The following is a 24,401-nucleotide window of genomic DNA, read 5'->3' as shown; positions in this document are numbered from 1 at the left end:
GTGGCGAGCACCTGTAATCCAAGCTACTCGGGAATCTGAGGCAGGAGAATCGCTTGAACCCAGGAGGCAGAGGTTGCAGTGAGCCGAGATCGCGCCACTGCACTCCAGCCTGGGCAACAGAGTAAGACTGTCTCCAAAAAATAAAGAGAAAGAGAGATGAACAATAACAATTCCTATATGCTAAAATAAATACTTTGAGTAACTGATTTCTTCTGCCAAAATTCAAATTCAACATAAATGAGTCTAAACTGAGTTGGAGGTGTGGAACCGGATCCCTCTGTTTCTATGCACTTTCCTAAGTTGAGGAATGGACAGGCCTACATTTATGAACCTGTACCTGAGGCCTCTAGTGAGAGAAGCCACATGGAAGCTGGTCTTCACGCTGCTCCAGGCACTAAATCTGACCCCTATCAAGAGGAACTACCCTCAACCCCCAATTTTGCAATAAGCAAGAACTGACATTGCTATTTGGGCAGAATGCAGTGCTATTTTGGTCCCTGGAAGCTTTTTTAGCTTGAGGTCACATATGAGCTGGCCTCACAGGTGGAGCAGCATTCTCCCAGAAGAGCAGCATCAGGTACCAGTGGAAATTGTTGTGGCTGACAACAGATGGTTGGGTGCTCAGTGGTCAGGGCAGCTGCCCAGCCATCCCAGCAGATGCCAGGCACAGATTAACAGGAGAGAGTAGCTACACTCAAAGGGCACACACTTGATCTTAAGCATATGTGACAGACCTCATAGAAGCTCCTAGAAATGTATACATAGTAAGGGGGTCCTGGAGCAATACCAGAGGGAATTATGAGCCACAGAAATTAAGAAATTAAGGTGAATATGGCCTCATTCGTACCCACAAGCTCCTGACCTGAGGCCTAGGGACAAGGGGGACACAGAAATACCTTATCTAGAAAGGGAAACTAATTAACTGTTGTTACCACTTAGTGCTGCTGGGCTCCTCACAAAGCACAACAGGAAATGAACTGACTAAAACTGGGAAGTCGTTTTTCTTGCCCAAGCATAGCAAACCAAGGTGGGAACATGGCATAGGGATGGAGGGATGAGGGCAGTAGCAGGGGAAGGTTCCCCTTTCTGAGCCCATTTTGAAAAAGTGGGCCCTTAAAACCTCAGTGCTAGTAATAATAATGATGGTTGAGATTTTGACATTAGTAAGATTTGAGACACTCAGAAAAGGCAGTGCTTGTGCCTTTCCTCCCTCTGCAGCTGACCACTCAGGCCCCACCCTCTAGGCTCACTCCCCCTGAAGTTGGAACCTGGCTGTACTGTGGCAGTAGTCCTGGGAAGGGCAAAGAAGTATTAAAAAGAGTCAGTGAGGCACCCTTAAGATGAATGGGTCCCTGTTGATAGGGGTCAGACCTAGTGCCTGGAGCAGCATGAGGACCAGCTTCCATGTGGCTTCTCTCACTAGAGGCCCCAGGTACAGGTTCGCAAATGTATGCCTGTCTATCCCTCAACATAGGAATAAGGTCTAGAGTAACAGTGTAGCCTAACAGTTAAGTTCATGGCTGATCCAAAAGGCTGCTAGAGCACACAGCTCCAAGTGCCTCCGGAGGGCAACTCCACAGAACATCACAACATGGTGCCCCTAGAATTATACCACGTGGTTGCTCTGCCTACCCAGCACTCAAATCATGCTCTATCATGAGAGCTTTGTGGCCCTGGGCAGGTTGCATACCCTTTCTCTGCTCAGTTTCCCTACCTATAAAATAGTGACACTGCTTCCTGCAGTTGTTGCTGGCTTGAATGAGTGAACACGCATGATGCCCTTAGCATAGTGCCTCACAGAACCAGCACTTAATACATCTTTTTAAATTCCATTTTGTTGTTATTACTTGGTTTTGTTTCTAGGGCCCACTGTATACATAGAACTAGGGGTTTCTTCATCAATTCAGGCTGCCATAACAAAGTACCATAGACTGGGTGGCTTATAGACAACACAAATTTATTTCTCACAATTCTGGAGGCTGGAAGTCTGAGATCAGGATGCCAGCATGGTTGGGGTCTGGTGAGAGTCTTCTTCTAGGTTGCATCAGTGCCCTTTGTAAAGGCACTAGTCTCATTTGTGAGTGTTGAGTGCTCCACCCTCACGACCTAATCACCTCCCACAGGCCCGGCCTCCAAATACCAACACATATTGGGTTAGGATATTGAAATGAATTTTAGGGGCACACAAGCACTCATTCCGTAACAAGGGGGTAATGGAAAGAATAGGACAAAGACACAAACGAAGGAAAGGGAACAGTGAGAGAAAGGCAAGCTTGCAAGATCATGAGAGGAAAACTTGTGGGTCCTTAAATTGGCCAAAATGGATGCGCTTGCTTTGTGCCCATCAAAATGGGGTCTCCTCCTGCTCCCAGCACTGTCTCCTTTATTCTCATCACAATTCACAGACGCTGGTAGCTTTGTGATAGAGATGATACACTGTTGTTCAGGATGAATTTCTAAGTCTAAGAACTCACTTTTGAGTCATAGTTGTTTGAAGGAGAAATATTAATTCTCTATCACTTTTCTGTAAACCAACTCTAATTTTTAAAAAAGAAGAGTTAAGAACTTCAGCAGTCTACATATCACATACCATGCTTTCTAAGGAGTTGTCACATAGAATTTACAATACCCTCTTCCTCTTTTCAAGGTTATTGCATTTGACATGTATTAAAGCCAGGAGAATTTGATTTTTTTTTTTTTTTCTTGAGATAGAGTTTTGCTCTTATCGCCCAGGCTGGAGTGCAGTGGCGCGATCTGAGGCTCACTGCAACCTCCGCCTCCTGGGTTCAAGCAATTCTCCTGCCTCAGCCTCCCAAGTAGCTGGGATTACAGATGCCCACCACCACGCCCGGCTAACTTTTTGTGTTTTTAGTAGAGACAGGGTTTCACTGTGTTAGCCAGGATGGTCTTGAACTCCTGACCTCAGGTGATCCACCCACCTTGGCCTCCCAAAATGCTGGGATTACAGGCATGAGCCACCACACCTGGCCGAGAGTTTGATTTTATAGCATTAGGGTTTTAAAGCTAGGTTTTAAAGGTAGGTCACTGGCCAGTTTTTATTTCAATATATAGTAGGTAAACATACAGGTCTAAAATGATCTAACAATTCCTTAAAAGTAAGGCTTTGAAGTTTGCATTTATAAAAGAGACTTAAATAGCTCTTTTGCTCTTTAGTGTGATATGACAAAGATGATGTGTGGCATTTGGAGCCTGAATGTGAACCCAGTCTCTCCTTTTTGCTTCATTTCCTCATTTTGGAGATTTGAGTACCTAACACTTAGGACTGTTGCAAGAATTCAAGGAGATAAGTTATATAAAAGGATAGAGTTCAAGTTGGGCATGGTGGCACACCCCTATAATCCCGGCTACTCAGGAGACCAAGGTGGGAGGACTGCTTGAGCTCAGGAATTCAAGACCAGCCTGGGCAATGTAATGAGACCCTGTCTCCTAAAGTAAAAAAAAAAAAAAAAAAAAAAAAATGGAGGCCGGGCATGGTGGCTCATGCCTGTAATCCCAGCACTTTGGGAGGCCAAGGCGGGTGGATCACCAGGTCAGGAGTTCAAGACCAGCCTGGCCAAGATGGTGAAACCCCGTCTCTATTAAAATACAAAAATTAGCCAGGCGTGGTGGCAGGTGCCTGTAATCCCAGCTACTCGGGAGGCTGAGACAGGAAATCGCTTGAACTCTGAGGGCGGAGGTTGCAGTGAGCCGAGATCAGGCCACTGCTCTTCGGCCTGGGTGACAGAGTGAGACACCGTCTCAAAAAAAAAAAAAAAAAAAAAAAAAAAAGAAAGAAAAATGGATAGAGTTCCGAATGTGATGAGGAACTCACCAAGTGTTTCTTCCTATAACCCTGTCCCAATGCCTGACATTTTTTTGTTCCTAAAGCTAATTTAAAAACTGGTAGAATAGAGGTAACAGAGAATATTGGTATGTCAGCTTCTTTGGTACATTTCATTTATGATTTTGTTTTCACACAGTCATGGCATGACATTTTTAGTAATCCTTTTATCATTTAGAGTAAGGCTCACCTACATACGTCCTTAATGTGTGGTGCACACCAGAAGTAAAGAGTGCATTGGAACATGAGAGGGTGGCAAAGAGTCAGAGATGCCCAAGCCATACCTGCACTGGGACAGTGATCCCATTTTTGAAGTACAGCCATGTAGCTTGGAGCACAGTCCTTCCTTGTAAGCATTTCATTTTCGAACAACCTTAGCTCAAGGCAAGCATTCTGCAGCCATCTCATTAAATGTTACATCTTCACAATACCATTTTCAATGCTTCTGAATTTCCATATTTCCAATATGTTTATTTAATCATCCTCAATTAGAGGATTTTCATGCAAGGACACAACTCTAAAGAAAACGTATTTAAATATCTTTATTTTAAAGATGAAAAAACTGAGACCTAGTGAGAGAGGGTGCTGCTTAGTGACAATGCCAGGAATAAACATGTGGTTCCTTTTTCGAGTCCATGGTCCTTCTTACACCTTTATAAAGTAAAATAAACCATTAGATTCGGGTGGCCTTTATACCCACCGTGGAAGTATATGCTTTAGAGAAAGTAAATGAAGTATTAATACTAACTCCTGAGTAATAGATGTGGCATTGTATTATTTGTATATGAGCTTGAAAATTTCTCATCCCAACCTCTCACTGGACATATCTCTGTAGTTATAGCTATTTTGATTATATCTACTGCTTATACCCCAGAGGCATAGAGACCAGCACCCTAAAGCAAAAGACTTCTGGATTTTGACTTTGGAAAATACAAATTCTTCTACAGGAGCGGTGAAACTAGTACAGCTGCCTGCTCTTTACCTGTAGGGGGAGACACATGATGCAGTGACAAGCATAGAACAGCACAGAAGTGGTTTTAGTCCAGAAAATAAATAAATAAGTAAATTGGTCTAAGTCTTCATTCCTTTTTGTATTTTTTTACCCTGAAGATTCATGGCTTCATTAAAAACAGTAAGTGCATTCTAAATAGAATTTAGTCAATTGGCACGTAGAAAATTAAAAAGTAAACTATCCAAATAATGCTAGTCTGTCAAAACACAATGAGAAGAAATTTAATCTTATATGTTTGTTGTTCTAAAGCACAAGCAGTTTCTAAGAATTAATAAGGGGGAAAAACAATAATGATATTTAATTGGGACAATTATTTTTTTGTTATCTGGGCTAATCACTTAATGCTTTGAGCTTATCGAATGAAAGAAACTAAGCAACTATTTCATGGTGACAATAAGGATGCTGGCTACTTACTTAGATCTGCCTTTTAAATCTGTGTGTGTGTGATAAAAGCAAGTAGTATATATAGTTTTTTAAAAAGAAATATAGAGAGATCTAATAGATGGGAGCAAGAACCATATAAAGAAGGCAAAAGGGATCTACATGAGAGAAATATGTAAGTCCTCAGGAGATACTGAAGTAAAACATGTGTTGTGTCAGTGTATAGGGAAGACAAGAGACCCAGCCATTGCCAGAGAAGCCCTACTTCCTCATCAACCACCAGCAGGCAGCAGCTTCATGCTGTAGTTCTTTTTTTCCTTTAATAGAATAAAGATTGTGGCCACACTTTAATAATTGCCAGAAATATGTGTTCATTAAGCTTTTTAAGAAATGTGATCGAAAAATGCTGATGATACATTGTGTTTAATAGCTTTAATAAAAAACTGATAAAGCATCTAATACATCTAATGACTGTCGGATTTCCTAAATCTTTTAAGCTGAAGGAGTTTACTTTTACAAAAATCCTCATTGAAAAAGAATCTTCCGGTAAAAACATTGAACTGAAAGATTTGCATAAATGCATGGAGTATTACTATTTATTAGTTAAACTTATGATCTTTTAGAGCAGTAAAAGTCAGTTCTCTTTCTTACAAATGAATTTGTTTTGGCCTTTTATGCTTTTATTTAATGAGTAGAGCCATACCTATTAATATATAAAAAGATCAGATCTGACACCGTGGCTTTTTGACCAGGAATTGATTGAAGTTAGACTTGTTTTAAGAATAGTGAAAACAAGGGCTATGTCCTAATTATGAGGGGAAATAATTTAATTGTGTCTCTCTTGTCTGAATATCTGATTTGGATGCTTTGTTATAACTTTAATTGAAATAATTAAATGGGGCTCATGTTCATTTAGCCTAGCAAAAAGGTGATGAGCTAGCATATATGTTAAAAACCCAGCTTTCCTCTTAGTAGTTGTCTAATTTTGGTCAATGTACTTAAATTCTCCAAGTTTTGGGGGTATTCTTTATCAGTAAATTCTAATTCAGTGCTTAACATAGTACTTGGTACTCAGAATGTATTCAACAAATGTTACTTATCATTATTGCTATAATATTATTATTATTATTATCTGCTTGGTCAACAGTATTTTCCATGCACCTTATATATGGCATGCATACGCTCTGGAGGTAAAATGTGACTACTGGTTCAAGAAATTTACAAAGTAAGGGAGAAGGAATTATAAATAGTTAAGTACTAGCTAAATGCCATGATTGAAGCCTTTATATTTTTTATTTTAATTAATTAATTAATTTTTAGAAATAGGGCCTCACTCTGTTGCCCAGGCTGGAGTGAAGTGGTACGATCTTGTCTCATTGCAACCTCCGCCTCCCAGTCTCCAGCAATCCTCCCACCTCAGCCTCCTGAGTAGCTGGGACTACAGGCATGCACCACCACGTGTGCATAATTTTTTATTTTATTTTTTGTATTTTTTGTAGAGGCGGCGTTTTGCCGTGTTGCCCAGGCTGATCTGGAACTCCTAGGCTCAAGCAATCTGCCCACCTTGGCCTCCCAAAGTGCTGGGATTATAGGCATGAGCCACAGAGCCTGGACTGAAACCTCTTTAAATATATATATTTATATAAATATATATTATATATAATATATACAAAATATATAATATATAATATATTATATATTATATATTTTATAAAATTATATATATTTCTTATATAAATATATATTTCTTATAAATTGTATAAATATATATTTATTATATATTATATACATATTTATTATATATTTATTATATATTATATACATATTTATTATATATGTATTATATATTATATACATATATTATATAAATATATATAATATTATATATTTATTATATATATAATATATATTTATTATATATATAATATATATTTATTATATATATAATATATATTTATTATATATATAATATATATATATTATATATATAATATATATTTATTATATATATAATATATATTTATTATATATATAATATATATTTATTATATAAATATATAATATATAAATATAATTCTCATATAAATAAATATAATATTTATTATATAATGTATTTCTCATATATATGCTTATTATATAATAAATATATTTCTCATATAAATATATATGTTTATTATAAAATAAATATATAAAATATATATTAAATAATTATATTATATATTTAATATATAATATATATGAATATGTATTCATATATAGAGAGAGAGAGAGCCAGTGGCTCTACCTAGGAAATGCTCCCTGATAAATTTGAAGAACATAATGCTTTCCATGTGGTTAGGGGAGGATTGAGGATTACCTCACAACAAAAGACCAGCAAGAATAAGGTATGGAAGCATGGAATGCCTGTCCATATCAGGGGACTGGGAACAGTAAAGGACAAATTGAGTTAAAGGTGTATAGGAGCAACTGAACAGGATGCTCCAGAGGTAGATTAAGGAAATAATATTTGAGGCCTACATAAATAACAGTGGACTTTATTTTATGGACAGTGGAAAATCATTGAGCATTTCCAATCGTAGGAACAAATACACATTTCAGAATGACAGTAATTGGAAGCAGTGTAGAAAGAGATTGAAAAGAAGAAAGACTAGGGGCAGCCCCATACTCTTCAGGGGGCTGTCACAGGCCTTGTACAGGATCAAGATAATGCAGCTCTGAACTGGGGTGGAAGTGGGGCTGTGGAGATGAGGGAATGGGTTCACAACTCTTCAGAGATAGGATTGAAGGGACTTGGGGGTTGATTAGAGCAGAGACTGAGGATGAACAATTTTAAAGTGAAAGTATGAGCCAGGTGTGGTGGCTCACGCCTGTAATCCCAGCAGTTTGGGAGGCTGAGGCGGGTGGATCACCTGAGGTCAGGAGTTCAAGACCAGCCTGGCCAACATGGTGAAACCCCATCTCTACTAAAAATACAAAAATTAGCCAGGCGTGGTGGCACGTGCTTGTAATCCCAGCTACTCTGGAGGCTGAGGCAGGAGAATTGCTTGAACCCAGGAGGCAGAGGTTACAGTGAGCCGAGATGGCACCATTGCACTCTAGCCTGGGCAACAAGAGAGAAACTTCATCTCAAAAAAAAAAAAAAAAAGTGAAAGTATATATACACATGTTCATTACAGCACTGTGAATGTGCATAAAGGGTTAAAAACAATCCAAATTCTAAATAATGTGTGAATTCTATTTAGGTAGGGGTTAAAAAATTCCCATAATAAAATGATTTTAAATAATTTATTTTTGAGAAAATTTTAATAATATGGAAAAATGTTTGTATTTTAAGGAATACATAATAAAGTGCCATGTGGGCAATAGGCACACATTTAATGCACTTTAATTATGTATATTGAATTGAACTTAAGTTACTTTTAGTTGTTGACCAGTAGTTAGCAAAGGTAGATAGGTTTACCATTTTACATTGAATCTAGTGACAAACATGTTATTTCTCAGGTCCCAGTTGTTAGTTTGCCTCTCCTTGCCTAGAAAGGGCACTGGTGAGACCCGCCCTAACAATATTTCAATATTATGGTTCCACAGTCCAGCATTAACTGTATTTTAAAATAATAATATCTCTCACATAGGGCAGCATTTTATGGATTATTGAGCCTATGACAAAAATGTTGTATTATCCTTCAGATGATCAGAAAAACTACCCTTAGGGCTGGGTGCAGTGGCTCACACCTGTAATTCCAGCACTTTGGGAGGCAAGGGAGGAAGATGGCTTGAGGCCAGGAGTTTGAGGCAAGCCTGAAACACAGTGAGACCTCCATCTCTACAAAAAATTTTAAAAATTAGCTAGACATGGTGGTGCACACCTGTAATCCCAGCTATTCAGGAGGATCATTTATGCCCAGGAAGTTGATGCTGCAGTGAACCATGATCATGCCACTGCACTCTAGCCTGGGCTACAGAGCAAAACTCTGTCTCAGAGTAAGAAAAGCTACCACATGAATAAAAGATCTCAGTGTCACCAAAGTCCACTCCTGCCAGCATCCCTTCCCCGCTGCCCTGAGTTTAAAAAGAGCAATACTTCCCAAACCTGTCTCTGATCAAAGGAATCCCCAAGGGCTTCCTGAGAACAACCACAAAATGACTGATTCCCAGACTTTCCAGAACTGAATGTCTAGGATAAGGCTCAGGATCTAAATTATTAACAAATACTCCCAGGTGAATGGGCTTGATTGGCCAAATTTGGGAGAATAATGGAATACTGAAGAAAGCAGGTGAGAGGGCTGCCTGTGTACAGTGTTGTCATTGAGTTGATGATAGCTTGTTGGAAAATACCTGTCTTTCTGGAAAGTATATATAGTGACACCCACACCCTCATCTAACAAACAGTGCAGCCCAGGATAAGCACGATCATATGTGCAAAGTGCTCCACGATTAGTGAAAGAAGATACAAGGTGATATTATTATCTGTGCTGACTTCGTCATCCTGGGCATCAGCGTCAGGGTCATCATCTGTTATCTCTCAAAATACATACAAGATTTTAAGTAGAGCAGCTTGCTCGTCTCTGAGAAGAAAATCAAGTATCACATCTACCTTTGTGGATGTGGGAGGGAGGGAATTTGGGAAATGTTTAGTAATTGCATTCTTTTTGTCTTCTTGGACACAGTACCAAGTCTCCTTAAACTAATAAAAGAAAAAAAAAAAATAAAAGAACCACACAAACTGCATTCTTCAGTCACTCCCTTTCTCCACAAAGTGCTTCCCACCCATTTCAGCCTTAAAAAATATTCTAGGCATACTCAGAAATACAGTGACTGTGGTGGGGCAAAATGTTGAAAATTCCTTTGAGGCTCATTTCCCAAATTTTACTAGTTGGATGTTACACTGAATTATTTAACTCTAAATAAATAGGGAGTGCACTCACAGCGTCGTTTCTTTTGTTATATCAAAAAGCCTCTCTCAAAAAATGCTTTAAAAATCAGTTGGATATATTATTAATACTAATATTAATAAAAGTTAACATTTACTGACATTTGAAATGTACCAAACACTCTAGATGAGTAATCTTTTTAAACCTTATGATATCCAAAGAGGTAGACACCGTTGCTATTCCTGCTTCATAGATGCAAAACTGGGCTAGACAAGTTGAATAATTTGATTAAGATACATAGGTAGAAAATTACAAAGTACGGATTGACTCAGAGGGAGAATGTCAAGTCCTCTCCTAAAATGTACTGGCATGTACACACATACACAAGCTGCTGGATGTGCTGGTCCTCAAAAGTTATTCCCTAGGGACATCTCTCTTCTTTTTTTTCTCTCTCCTTCCCTCCCTCTCTCTCTCTCTTTCTTTTTCTTTTTTCTTTTGAGAACAGAAAACAAATCTATACCATCTATTCCTGAATGTATATGAGTGGAGGGTAGGACAAGAGGAGGGATAAGATCTGTGGATGCACAGAAACTCTTTGGGAAACCCTAAAAACTCTCTATAGTTATATAAGCTAAGGAAAGGATTCCTGCCAGGGGGTATAGGATTCTTCAATTCCCACACTTCTCTTCCTGACTCTTCTGAAGTGCCCGTTGTCACCAGAGTGCCCAGGGGCAGAGCATTGACAAGGAAAGGCCCAGGTGTGTGTGAGAAGTCAGGCAGATGGGGTGTTTCGGAGGAACCAGGGTAACGCAGTGCTTCAGCGTTAGCACTCACCTTGCTTCTGGGACCACTTACCACGAAGGCCTGAAAGGGCAGGCCCCAACTACTGGGAATATTAATCTTCTCTTTGGGTGAAGTCTCTTCATGCCATTATCATCTCTTAGCTACCATTGCTAGGCAAAAGTTTCCTAGCTCACCATGTCCTGAATGCACTTCCTTGAGATATTTCTGATGCTTAAATATCCAGTGCTTTCTAGTGTGCCGTCTTCCTTCTGTATTTTTGTTTTGTTTTGTTTTGTTTTTTTGTGGTTCCTTTTCAGCACTGTTGGTCCTGTGGAAGTATTTCTAATTGACTGTATTCTATATGCCACACAAAACAGATGGGTGTTTATGACATTCTTTTCTGGATATGTTTCTGATGTTTGCATATTGAACACAGAACTGTCCACATAGAGAACTTGATTTCTGCCTCTTCCTGGCTTTGCTTTTACTCATTTAGTCCCTAGTATGTGAAAGGCTATGCTTAGGCTCCAAGGACCCAAGGATGAATAAAATACCTCCAGTAAGCTTCAGGACCATTACTCTAGAGGTTTGTGGAACTTAAAAAGCTAAAATGTGTTCTGTTGAATGACAAAAAGCATTAAGTTAATAGAAAACAGAGGGCTTATAAGTGAATGGATAAATGAATAAGTAAAATAAAGAAGAGAGAAAGGAAGGGAGAGAGGAAGAATGGAGCAGATGCAGGTGAGATTGTTTTTCTAAAGAGCTAAGAAGCTGCCTACAGTGTTAGCTTAGAGACTGAAAATGGTTTGGGAAAATAATTCAGAAATTTAGGGAATACTTCACAGCATGAGAAAGTGGAGGGCTGAGATTGGTAAAAGAAGACATGTTTCAAAATAGCCAAAAGGAAAATAGAAAAGAACTGGTCGTGAAACCGAGACCTCAGAGTTGAATGACAAGTAAGATACCTCTGAAGTCACTGACAGTGGACTGACTGTTATTTGACTAATATTGCTTCTACAGAGACAGACCTAGGTTTTATCCTCCCATAGAAAAAAATCTCAAACATTGGTAGGTTTTGTTTTTGTGTTTTGACATACAAGTCAAAATCTATGTGAAGGAGGAGGAACAAGACTCAGGGGTCAGAAAATTGGGGTTTCGTGGCTGGCTGTCCTGCTCACCCACTTTACGTGTGACCTTAGAAAAGTCACGCCGATGTGTTAGATCTTTTCTGTTAAAATGTGGTGGGTAATAATTATACCTTCCTAATTTTGAGGAATTACATGAGATAATCTGTGTAAAAAAATTAGCACGGTGTCTGGGACATAGTAAATGTCAGGTCTTATTTAAAAGCATGTGGAAAGTGCTTAATATGTTGAAAAGTATTATAAACTACCAATAAATATTATTATATTATTCAATTACTGTTGATCCTCAAAACAGCCATCTCTGGAAACTGTGCAATTATTTGAGCCCTGATGCCATTGCTGAAAGCATTTTGGAAGTGGCTTTAGAGACCATTTACAGACCATATAAGACACACACATACCAAAAAGCAATAAGCAATCTCACTGGTTTATAGTAACACTTCACTTATGACCAAAAATATTATTTCCAATATGATTACCAACCCTATTCACCAGACAGAATGTCAAATTAGCTTAGATGGGGCTAACTCCAGAAATGAAACCATTCTCAAGGGATTTTAAAGAGTTTTTTAAGAAGTATCACATGGACTTTTAAGGCAATTCCAAGACAGGGAGCCCTAAAATCATTACAATGATGGCAATGTGTGGAATAAGCATATAAACACATTTTCCCAGATGCAACTTTGAAGGAGACAAAATCTGAATTCTAGGCAGTTTGTGAAGGAAAAGGAGCAATTTCTGGGAAATTTCTTTTACCCCTCAGCCAACCTCAAGACAGTCTGTCTTTCTACAGACCCTCCCTTGCTGTTTCTCTTTACTGGAAACTGTTGAGGGTACTGGAAATAAAGGAGAAGGCCAATGTATCTAAGACCAGTGGATCAGAGAGGAGCCCAAGAACCTTCATCATTTCCACAGAAAGGGCAGCAGAGGAAATTAACCTGGCCTTTTGTCATGCTATTATTTCTCAGTGAGTCTATTAAATTATTGTGGCACACTAAACAGTGTTGTCTGCATCTTGTTCTTTGGGGATTCCATACAATTCTCCCCTTGGCTGGCTTATCACCTCCCCTTAGAAAATGGTGTCTCAGCAATGATCCTTTGCTTGCAATACAAAAAAACCAACTCTGCTCATTAATGCAAAATTCTTAGTGGAAGAATATAGGAAGAATTCTGAATTCCCTGAGAATTAGTGGGGCGACAGGTGGTGGTGGGGGTGCTGGAGGACGAGGTTTGAAGGAATCAGTGCATCTTTACAGTGCTAGAAGGCTACAAATCAAGGGGAAAGTCTCATGGCAGGAGTAGTCGAGTGAGATCCCCACAACTGTTCTTAGTTTCTTTGTCATTATTTCAAGAGTCAAACAGCAGTGAAGGGATCTAATTTGTCTTGTTTGCGTCCTGGGCCTTGGCTAAAAGAGAACAGGCAGGTGGCTTCAGTTCTACCAAACTATGTTATAAAATGTGGTAGTAAGAGCTGAATGATGGGACCAGATTTTGTGGGTTCATATTCTAGCACTACGACTTACAGATGCTTGTGCTCAAACAATTCATTTAACCTTCCAGAGCCTGAAATTCCTCACTTTTGAAGTAAGCACAATAATAATATTTATCTCATAGGGAGTTCATGAAAATTATTTGAGGAGATATTTATGAAAGGCTGGGCATGGTTGCTCACGCCTGTAATTCCAGCATTTTGGGAGGCTGAGGCGGGCAGATCACCTGAGGTCAGGAGTTTGAGACCAGCCTGGCCAACATGGTGAAACCCTGTCTCTACTAAAAACACAAAAAAATTAGCCAGACATGGTGTTGCACACCTGTAATCCCAGCTCCTTGGGAGGCTGAGGTAGGAGAATCACTTGAACCTGGGAGGCAGAGGTTGCAGTAAGCTGAGATCGTGCCACTGCACTCCAGCCTGGATAACAGAGGAAGACTCTGTCTTAGGAAAAAAAAAGATATTTATGAAAAATGAAGCAAAATGCATGGCTCACAGTAAGCACTTGATCATTGCTGGTTAACTATTATTAAGATTATCTAATAGGGATACAAAGTATATTCCTGAAAGAAATTAGGGTGCTCTTAGATAGGGGAAATAAATGCTAGTAGGATTGGTTTCAATGCACTATTTATTTTATTAATTTATTTCTCACTGAATTTCTTTTTATGATACTCATTTTTTTTAGAGATCCAGATGGTACCTGTCATTAATGTATCCCTGAGAACTCAGTTCCTCTGAAGGCACAAAAATAATTTGACCATCTCATCATTTGATCCACACACATTTATTGATGCCTCTTTTATGCTTGGTTCTATACAAGACGCCGTGACGTGTGGCCCCTGTAGGAAGTCCTGGCCTCTGTCTCTAAATCTGTCATCTCAGCCCAACCCCTATTCAGATTATCTGTGCCCTCTGCGTAGCCATTCACTTCGCCTGGGTGCAATCATGCCTTCCTTACCCAACGTTTAACAAGTCCAGCCTAGCAACCTACATCATGCCATCCAACAGAAGGAAGGCATTATTGACTCAGAACAAAGTATAGGCGCTCTTAGAATAAGTTTATTAAATCATTTTTTTAAAAAAAAGATATGTGCTTTTTCCCAGGGGAGCAGTGAGGCATTGTCAGAGGGTGGATTCATTAAATCAATACAGAGAATCCTGGCTGCACTATTTGTTAGCTATTTGACTTTGGGAAAGTTATTCTCTGAGCCTTGATTTCTCATTAGAAGACGGGAATAATAGCAAACCTATCTCAGAGCATTAAGTAAGAATTAAATGAAGTGAATTAAGCACGAAACCTAGCATCTGACGCATAGTAGGAACTAAAAAAGAAATACTAGTTCTTGAATAAACATTTTTTTCTTGACTGTACTGTGATACTTCCATCAGTGAGTTTCCAAGGCAAATGAATCATCTTTAGAATTGGAAGCTCAATGTAAGCAACAATGAAGTAAAGAAAACAACTGAATTTCTCTTGAAATTATTTTCCTTTACTGACTTGTCTTTATTGTCTGTGTTCACAAGAAACTAGCTCTGACTGCAAAAATGTCTGCCTGTTTCTATGGCCAGTTCTTTTCTACATGTTTAAATTCCTAATTGTGCACACAATCTTAGTCACAATATTTTCATGTGCAAGCAATTAAGACTCATTTAACAGCCCTCCCTCTGGAAGGTTTTGTTCTCCATCTGCCACAAATCAGATTCCTTAGGAAGATATTTGATTTTGAAACAATGTTAAAGTACTGTTCATTTTGTTCAAATTTCATTTATGTACCATTTTTTAAAGTGATGTAAATGGACAGCCACAAAAAGCTCAGCAGCTGGTCAAAACAAAACATCAAAGTCACCATTGAAATGGGGCAAAAAAATTAAAAACTAATATGCTGGGACAATGCCAAATAAAAACGATAGTCTGATAAACATTCCTCAGACACATTTTGCTCATAACAACTATTTCCTTTACAGCAGATTTAAAATATGGGAAAATAGGAATATACCCCAGTTGCCACTCTGAATCTTAGCTGTCCTGAGTTCACTGCAATGTATATAATAAGGAAGTCAGAAGGTGGAAAAGAGGAAAAGATTAAATTTGTAAGTTTTTTGAAAGATATATGGTAAAAAGTAGAGGTATCCAACAGATTTGTACGATAGATTGTTCATTTAAGGACCAGGAGCGGTGGCTCACGCCTGTTATCCAGCATTTTGGGAGGCCAAGGAGGGGCGGATCACCTGAGGTCAGGAGTTCGAGACCAGCCTGGCCAACATGGAGAAACCCCGTCTCTATTAAAAATACAAAATTAGCCAGGCGTGGTGGCACATGCCTGTAATCCCGGCTACTCGGGAGACTGAGGCAGGAGAATCGCTTGAACCTGGGAGGCAGAGGTTGTGGTGAGCTGAGATCGCGCCATTGCACTTCAGCCTAGGCAAAAAGTGAAACTGTCTCAAAAAAAAAAAAAAAAAGATTGTTCATTTAAAAATCAATTCGATTGGCCAGGCACGGTGGCTCACACCTGTAATCCCACAGCACTTTGGGTGGCCGAGGCAGGCGGATCGATTGAGGCCAGGAGTTCAAGATCAGCCTGGGCAACATGGTGAAACCCCCGTCTCTACTGAAAAAAAAAAAAAAAAGTAGCCAGGCATGGAGGCATGGTGGCACATGCCTGTAATCCCAGCTACTTGGGAAGCTGAGGCACGAAAATGGCTTGAACCCGGGAGGCAGAGGTGAGATCATGCCACTGTACTCCAACCTGGGTGACAGAGCAAGACTCTGCCTCGAAGAAAAAAAAAAAATCAATTAGATAAGTGAGAGTGTATATTCAGGGCAACTTAAATCTATGCTCTCAGATTAAAAATAAGATTTAATTACAATTTTTTTTTTTTTTGATGCAGGGTCTCACTTTTTGCTCAGGCTAGATTGCGGTGGCACAATCACAGCTCACTGCAGCCTCGACCTCCTGGGCTCAAGCAATCCTCCCACCTCATCCTCCTGTCTACCTGGGACTACAGGCACATAGCACTGCACCACCATACCTGGCTAATTTTTAATTTTTTTTTTTTTTTTTAGAGACAGGATCTCACGATGTTGCCCAGGCTAGTCTTGCACTCCTGGGCTCAAGTGATTCTCCTGCCTTGGCCTCCCAAAGTGCTGGGATTACAGGTGTGGGCCATCACACCCAGCCAATTTTGAAGTATTTAATTTTTAAAATGAAAAATTGATTAGATAATAGTTCTCCCTCACTACAGGTGAAGTCTGTTTTTATTTATTTGTTCAATGGGCTTCTTTAGAACATGACATAGAAGGCAATCCTTGGTCAAATTAAGGCAGAAACAAGAATTTATTAGGTTCTGAACATAAATAACTGTCTGTGAACTGGTAACTCTCTAATTAAGCATAAATGTGAAAAGAAGAGGATTAGCTCTTCTTGAGGAGTTGGAAATGGAAAATATTACAATTTGGAGAGGTAGCTTGCAGAAACCGTACAGTTTTCTCTGCTTATATGCCCCAGCGTTGGGAGACTTGAAAGGAATCACCAACCAAGTTAATGCAATAAATTTCCATATATAGATCAATTGGATGTTTTGTCCCCAGCTTCCTAGGCCTTTAATAAACTGAATTGTTTTGGTATCACTGGATGAAAGGTTCTGTAAAAGTTCAAAGTATTGTTATTTGGGGCATTCACACCTGCATGTTTAAAATGCCTTTGTGCAGAATGTAGTCCAATCTGCTTTCAAATCAGACCTTCAAAGAAGGGTAGATTCATCCATGTGACAGATCCCCTTAGGTGCTTCTCTAAAAGAAAAAGTTAAGCTAGCAGGTCTACCCCCACTCATTATCTTTGTCTCTTTGTGCGTAATCATCAAACCGCACCTCTGAAAAGAAGACCAAGAGAAAACTTTAGTATCTCTTTGCTGGAGATGCAAAGCAAGATATAGAAGGAACTGGAAAATAGTTCTTAAGTAAATACAGGGGGAAAACGGAAATTGAGAGGACGTACTTTTCGCTAACAGTTGTAAACTAAAAATAAAATTTGAAGCACGCCTGCACCCTCACCTGAATGGACTTCCTCCTTGGCCAGGGCACTTTAAAATTTAACCTGAAAGACTGATTTAGGCCGCAAAGGAAGTCAGACATGCCTTATTTTACCCCTCCAGTATTAACATCACCACAGACCTTAAGTCTGATAAGAAACATTTAGGATCTCTTTTCTTGGAAGCCTGCTACCTGGAGGCTTCATCTGCCTAATAAACCTTTGGTCTCCACAACTTTTATCTTAACCCAGACATTCCTTTCTACTGATAATAACTCTTTCAACCAATTGCTAATCAGAATATGTTGAAATCTACCTGTGACCTCGAAGCCCTCCCCCAACTTTGAGTTTTCCCGCTTTCCAGCTTTCCAGATAGAACCAGTGTAAATCTTACATGTATTGATTGATGTATTATTTCTTCCTAAAATGTACAAAAACAAGCTGTAGCCTGACCACCTTGGGCACATGTCTTCAGGACCACCTGAGGCAGTGTCACACGTGCATCCTTAACTTTGGCAAAATACACTTTCTAAACTGATTGAGACCTGTCTCAGATATTTTGGGCTAACACAATGAATATGAAAAAACTTTTTTGTTGGCGGGGGTGGGAGGTGGGACGGAGTCTCTCTCTGTTGCCCAGGCTGGAGTGCAATGGCGCAATTCGGCTCACTGCAACCTCCACCTCCTGGATTCAAGTGATTCTCCTGCCTCAGCCTCCTGAGTAGCTGGGATTACAGGCACACGTCACCATGCCTGGCTAATTTTTGCATTTTTAGTAGAGACAGGGTTTCACCATGTTGGTCAGGCTGGTCTTGAACTCCTGACCTCATGATCCACCCATCTCGGCCTCCCAAAGTGCTGGGATTACAGGCGTGAGCCACCACACCCGGCCAAAAACAACTATTTTTAAAGAGCATCTAAGCTCAGAAATCACAGGCATATTACGCCTGCCACTAAGGGAGTTAGTTCCATTGAAGGATATAATTAAGAGTGAAATGAATGGTGTGCTAAGCACTTAGGGATAGTGGTTCACAAATTTGTCTGTTCCTTAAAATCACCTTGGGGGGCAGGCGTGGTGCCTCACACCTGTAATCCCAGCACTTTAGCAGGTCAAGGCCAGAGGATCACTTGAGGCCAAGAGTTCCAGACTAGCCTGGGCAGCGCAGTGAGATCCTGTTTCTACAGAAGATAATAATAATCACCTGGAAATTTCTTTTTTTTAATGCAGCTAATGAAGGAAAAAAAAATCCGAGGTTTTGAAACCAACTCAAAGACAACAGCGATATTCAAGCATAAGATGTAATAAAGGTTGTACACTAGATAGCTAGATAGCCAGAATAAAAAGGAAGAGATAGTTACAAAAAATATAAGGAGGATAAATGTATAGGATTTCATAACTGCTAATCATATGATTTTACTGAGTAGGTGTAAAATGCTTCTGATAATGTGTGAAAATTTATAATCCTTCGTATTATATGTAGGATAAACATAGGTTAAGACCTGGATTCTAAGGCTGAATTTAAGGCTAGTTTATCTCCATCCTTAGATTTCCTACATTTCATTTAAGAGAAAATGTCCTGTATATTGAATATTCATGAAAATCTCTGAAAGGTGTTATGCTTATTCTTAACCTCTTAAAGGTGTACACTGAATGTAATTAAATCATTTTTGCTGGCTCTGGTTCCTCATGAACATCTGCTTTTGTACTTCCCTGTCATTCACAAATGCACTTAGGAGCTAATGATCTATGAGGACTTTTTTTTCCCCTACAGTAACGAGCAGCAAATCTGGCTGCACTTTAATTTCTCATCTGCTGTCCCATATTGTCTGGTGGTCAGTTCATGATGTTACTAAGCTTGGCTTTATTGGCATCTTTTGTGAGCTGCTGCTGCTTTTTCCTTGGCAAACCTGATTACCAAGCTATTGCATTGAGCATAAAATAAAGGTAAATTAATTCAAAATAAAAGTGAAGGTTGAGGGCAATTCATTTCTGAGGTAGACCTTTAGGATATGAGATGCATAAAGTGAACAAGATCCTACAAGTGTTTACTTGACTTTTCTGGGTTCTTTTCACCTACTTACTGATTTTGAATAGTATAAATTCCTGGATAATTAATCTGGATAAGTAAGTCGTCACTGTACCTCTAGAGAAAATAAAATCAACCAAAATATGTTTAATTCTGTGCTCTGGGTTTCAAGAAAACAAAAATGAATAAGATATAGTCCTACCCCCAAGGACTTGACACAATATAATTGTACATGTGCAAAAGAAACTGTCTAGGTGTGGTGGCTCACACCTCTAATCGCAGCACTTTGGGAGGCTGAGGCAGGAGGATCACTTGAGCCTAGGAATTTCAGACCAGCCTGGGCAACATGATGAAACCTTTTCTCTACAAAAAAAAAATACAAAAATTAGCCAGGCATGGTGGCACATGCCTGTAGTCCTAGCTACTGGGGGAGTTGAGATAGGAGGGTTGCTTGAGCCCAAGAGGTCTAGGCTGCAATGAGCTATGATCACAGCACTCCAGCCTGGGCAAAAAATCTTAAGTAGTCTCAGGACTGTACCACAGAGTATCGTAAGAATTCAGAGGAGGCAAAGACCAAATTAGAATAATAAGCAATGAAGGCTTCCAGCAAACATGGTATTTTTGTTGGGCCTTGAACACTCTTTAGATGCTTTAGTTTAATGTGCCATAGTCACACTTTCTGTATTGGGAGTGTTAATGGGTGATAACTACTCCAGAGCTTTAGGATTGCTTCCAGTATCCCAGCAAAGCAGCCCTTTTCAACTAGAACCGTTTGCTATTACAAAAGAGAGGTGATCACTTGTGATTTCTTAACATTTCTTCACTTTGCCTCTGGCACTGGGCTTCTGAAAGTCCAGGAAAGAGCAATGACCTCAGGGTTTTAAGACCAGGGGTATAATCCCAGCTCTGCCTAGCTCTCTGTGTAATTTTTGGTCAGTAATTTAACCTGGGTTGTGTTCTGTAAAATGATGATATTGGATTAAATAGTACCTAATCATCTAACTTTTTCCTAATATTTTATTATTATAAAAAAATGCATGCCTCTGATGAATTGCCTTTATCTTCTTTAGTCATATTTCCCTAAGAAGTGAATAAAAGATACCAAGGCAATGTGTGAATTCCACTTTTTCCAATCTGGATGTTTAGGGGATATCCTTGACACCATTTGCTATTTTGAGTTTTCAACAAAGAGTTAAAAGAAAATTCTGGCACTCCTATCTAGTCATCCTCTCCAGTTGGCAGAAGTCTTCATGTGGACTTGATGGTTGCCCAGAGCAACAAAATATTAGGGACAGAAACATGTTCAGGGACTCGATTGTATAAGTGACTCAGAGCTGAGAGACCTTTTCCAGCTTGACTGCAGCCCATACTTAGCTAAAGTGGGTATTTGTCTATTCCTGTCTGCATACTGTGACTTGGAGATGCCTATTATTTTGCTTGCTAAAATATGGAAGCCAACCTTGAAACTGGCAGAGAAGAGTTAAATGATCAGAAGGCAATCGTCTTCATTCAGCACGTCTGACACATGAAAGATCATTAGGACTAGCAAATATAAACAAGATCAGGGAGTGGTCTTGGGCTTTGAAGAGCACATACCAAGAACATCAAGAGAACTCAATATAAATTCAATATAAAAGCTACTATTCAAGGCCAATTATCTCTTTTGAGTTAGAAGAGCCCAATGGAGAGCCACTCACGCAAATCAATACCCTTTCCTTCTCTCAGTTGGAGCCAGACATCTCTAACTATCCTCTGAATTAAACTGGATTTTTAAAATGTTTTTCTGTCCCTAAACTCTTTAAATCCTGAGGTCATCCTTTCTTTGTTCCATCAGTCTGGCTCCATGATACCAATTACTCCAGCTTGTTAAAGCAGTTATTGGCATATGGTAGTCATGTCTTTTGTTTCTATGCAATGTTTCCTGGAGCAAGAATTGGAGGGAGAAGTATTAGCCAAGTCTTGTTGCTTTAAGTCTCCTCTCTTCAACTGTTTAACTAGGTTCCATCCTAATTATGTGTTTGGTTGGTTTTATTTTGATACCCAATATACATTCTTCTCATTTGTACATGAACAATGTCATTATGGTAATAATAACAATTATACAATATTACTTTCTGTCCTCATTGAATGTCATTATGATCAGGAGCTGGTCCTCTTGGTTTGGACATTATAATTTGAAATGAATATTCTTTTTAAATGATTGGAAACTTAGTCGTAAATTCAAGTGGTTTACAATAGTAACTCTTATCCCAGTAACCACAGCACCTGTTTAGAAAAATGTCTTCGGATCACTTGTTTGCAAATGTCTTTTTCCTTAGGATCCTGGATGGAATTGAACCCATATACGTTACTTGACATGTGAAACACGTGTGACCCTGGCAGATGATTTGGCTGACCTTGAAAACTACAGCTGTTTAGTCACTTTGAAAACAATGCAATACAAGTGATTTACTAGGCTTCAGTTTTAACCATTTTATGCTGACTGGTGGAAATTCTAACCCTTCAGAAAGAAAAAAAAATTGTGAAGCAATGGAAATGTACCATCCTGGGTATTAATGTCATTAATTTTCAATACATTTTCTCACAAAAAGTATAAAGAAGTCTTTGCTTGACCTTACGGGAAAAAACAACATACATGTGGCTTTATTTTGCCTTTTTTTTTTTTTAATTAATGAAGAAATCCAAGATTTGACTTTTGTTTCTTCTCTACCCAAATCAAAAGCAGTCTATAATCTCCTGCAAAGATCAAAGCTTTTTGCTTACTATAAAGTATGTGCCCTGCTTAGGCATTACATGGTAGAAAGATAGCATTCTGTTCCAAGAAATCTCTATTCGTTCTCTAGTTGCTGTGTATATATTCTCTTTTAGCTAGAATATGGTTAGTAAATGAGTCCTGAAAATTTCGCTGTATATACCAAAACATGTTGTATACCATAAATATATAAAATATTTTTATTTCAATTTTTTAAAATTGTGCTTCAATCAAGACAGAAGTTGATTTCTTTTTCCAGAAATTCAGAGTGAGCAGTCCAGGGCTGCTGTGGCTGCTCTAAAATCACCAAGGGCCCAGAGCTTCTTTCAGATAATTTTTTTAACATTTCTAGATTATAGGCTTTGTCTTCATGGTCTGAGATGACTACAAGAGCCCTAGCCATCACAACTAAGTGGCCAGCAGCAAGAAGGAGGAAAAAAGAAGGAATAGTACACCCACTCCTTTTAGAAAAGGCTTCTGAGAAATCCCACATAATGCTTCTACTTACATCTCCTTGGCTCAAATTTAGTGTCTGCCACAAAAGAGAATAAGACACACACACACACACACACACACACACACACACACACACACACATATATATATATTTTTTTTTTTTCTGGCAAGTCTCTAGTTCAGGGATTTCAATCTCCTTTAAGCAAATGAGTCTTCTCCTAACCTCTCCCTCTGGCCTGCCCAGTCTCTCTCGAATCTCTTGCCATCCTGTCCTCCTTACTCACTTTGGGAAAATCCAGCTCTGTCAGTTTTACAGTCTGCCTTTTCCACTTCCTTACCTGAATTCCTGGGAAAAATAATCCCACATCACTTCAAGCTGGAATTCCAACAAAGTCAAGACCTGTCACCTCATCGGACTCTCAGAGCACTTGACAGTTAGTTCCTGCTGTGCCCCTCTCTCAGTCCTCTTCATGCTAATTCCAAACCTGTCCTCTCTCTTAAGCCTCCCAAACCAGCAGCTCTTCATCTCCTTTCAGCAAATAACTTGTTGCTTTTTGAAGAAAGTCTGTGTCAAGGCATGAACTTCCTCAGCTCCTACATCCTCTTGCCATAGATGTTATCCATAGGTCTCTTACTGACATCCATAATCCCTTCCTCCCTTCTGGTCTCAGCGGATGACGTTTCCCTTCTCCCTCCTGCTCTAAGTCAACCCCTGCATCTGGGCCCTTGATCCTCTCTCCTCCCAGCTCCCACAAGTCCTTGCTTCGTCTGTTTTCCTTTCTATCTCTCACATCTTCAATCTTTACTTTTATTCTGGCTCTTTCCCCATTCATGTCTCTCACAATCTTAAAAACAATACACAGCAAACCACAGCAAAGTTCAGCCAACTCTTTATTGATCCTTTAGCTAGTTCTTGATCTTCTCTTTTCAGTCAAGTTGCTCTACCTCCTCATCCCTATTCAGTCTGCAGTCCACTGTAGTACGACTTTCTCACAACACCTCTGTTCCAGCTGCCCTCCCTTGGTTGCCAATGAACTCCTAATTGTCTTCTTAGTTCTTAGAGGCTTCTTCTTCTTAAACTCTTTCTTTGTTCATTTACTGAGTAAATATTTATTCAACATGTTTTTGTTGGGAGCCATTTTGTTCCAGATGTTTCCACACTCTTCTTGCTGCTCTGAATACTTCTTTTCACTATTCTTCATGGTCTCTCTTCCTCCCCACTTTACCTCTTAAATGTGAGTATTCTAGAATGTTCTTTTTGATTAATTGGTTTTCTCACTCTGTGTACTCTGTAGATGTTTTCATGTACCTCATAGTTGTATTTTCCATCTTATGAAAGTGGGTCCCAAAACTCTGTCTCTACTCAGAGTAGGCACTTCCCCAATTTCCAAATTTATTCACACAAAAGCCCAATGTCCATTGATATCCAACTCTTCAAATCCAATATGTCCAGAGCTGGACTCACATATTTCTTTGCAAATCTGTTCTTCCTATCTCAGTTAGTGAAACACTTTTAGCCAAGATCGAAACTTATAAATCATGAATCCTTCTACCAAATCTATCTGTCTGTCTATATATATTTTTGAAACAGAGTTGTCTCACTCTGTTGCCCA

General features: G+C 39.2%; 1 protein-coding gene across 29 annotated transcripts in view, besides 1 other annotated feature; it reads left to right on the top strand.

Annotated features, from left to right (window-relative positions):
- The window catches only part of PDE4D (phosphodiesterase 4D), a 1,553,091-nt gene that overhangs the window by 1,342,868 nt on the left and 185,822 nt on the right, over positions 1 to 24,401 (top strand). For 3 of the 29 annotated variants that reach the window (XM_047417300.1, NM_001364600.2, NM_001364602.2), the window contains one exon: positions 21,899 to 22,541. The exons of the other annotated variants lie outside the window; for them this stretch is intronic. In XM_047417300.1, coding sequence (XP_047273256.1) covers positions 21,899 to 21,942 — 44 coding nt within the window. In that variant the 3' untranslated portion in view covers positions 21,943 to 22,541. Of the gene's footprint in view, positions 1 to 21,898; positions 22,542 to 24,401 lie in introns of those variants that run through there. 29 annotated transcript variants of the gene reach the window in all.
- Positions 20,127 to 20,628: an enhancer, noted in NCBI's record as "NANOG hESC enhancer chr5:58454460-58454961 (GRCh37/hg19 assembly coordinates)". NCBI's record gives its function as "activates a minimal SCP1, AML or CMV promoter by ChIP-STARR-seq in naive H9 embryonic stem cells {active_cell/tissue: H9 hESC(naive)}" and the evidence as "EXISTENCE:reporter gene assay evidence [ECO:0000049][PMID:30033119]".

This window comes from Homo sapiens, chromosome 5 (genome assembly GCF_000001405.40).
Source record: "Homo sapiens chromosome 5, GRCh38.p14 Primary Assembly".
In the NCBI taxonomy this organism is placed as follows: Eukaryota; Metazoa; Chordata; class Mammalia; order Primates; family Hominidae; genus Homo; species Homo sapiens.
The sequence above is the reverse complement of the archived record's forward strand: the minus strand, read 5'-3'. Positions and strand labels throughout refer to the sequence as shown.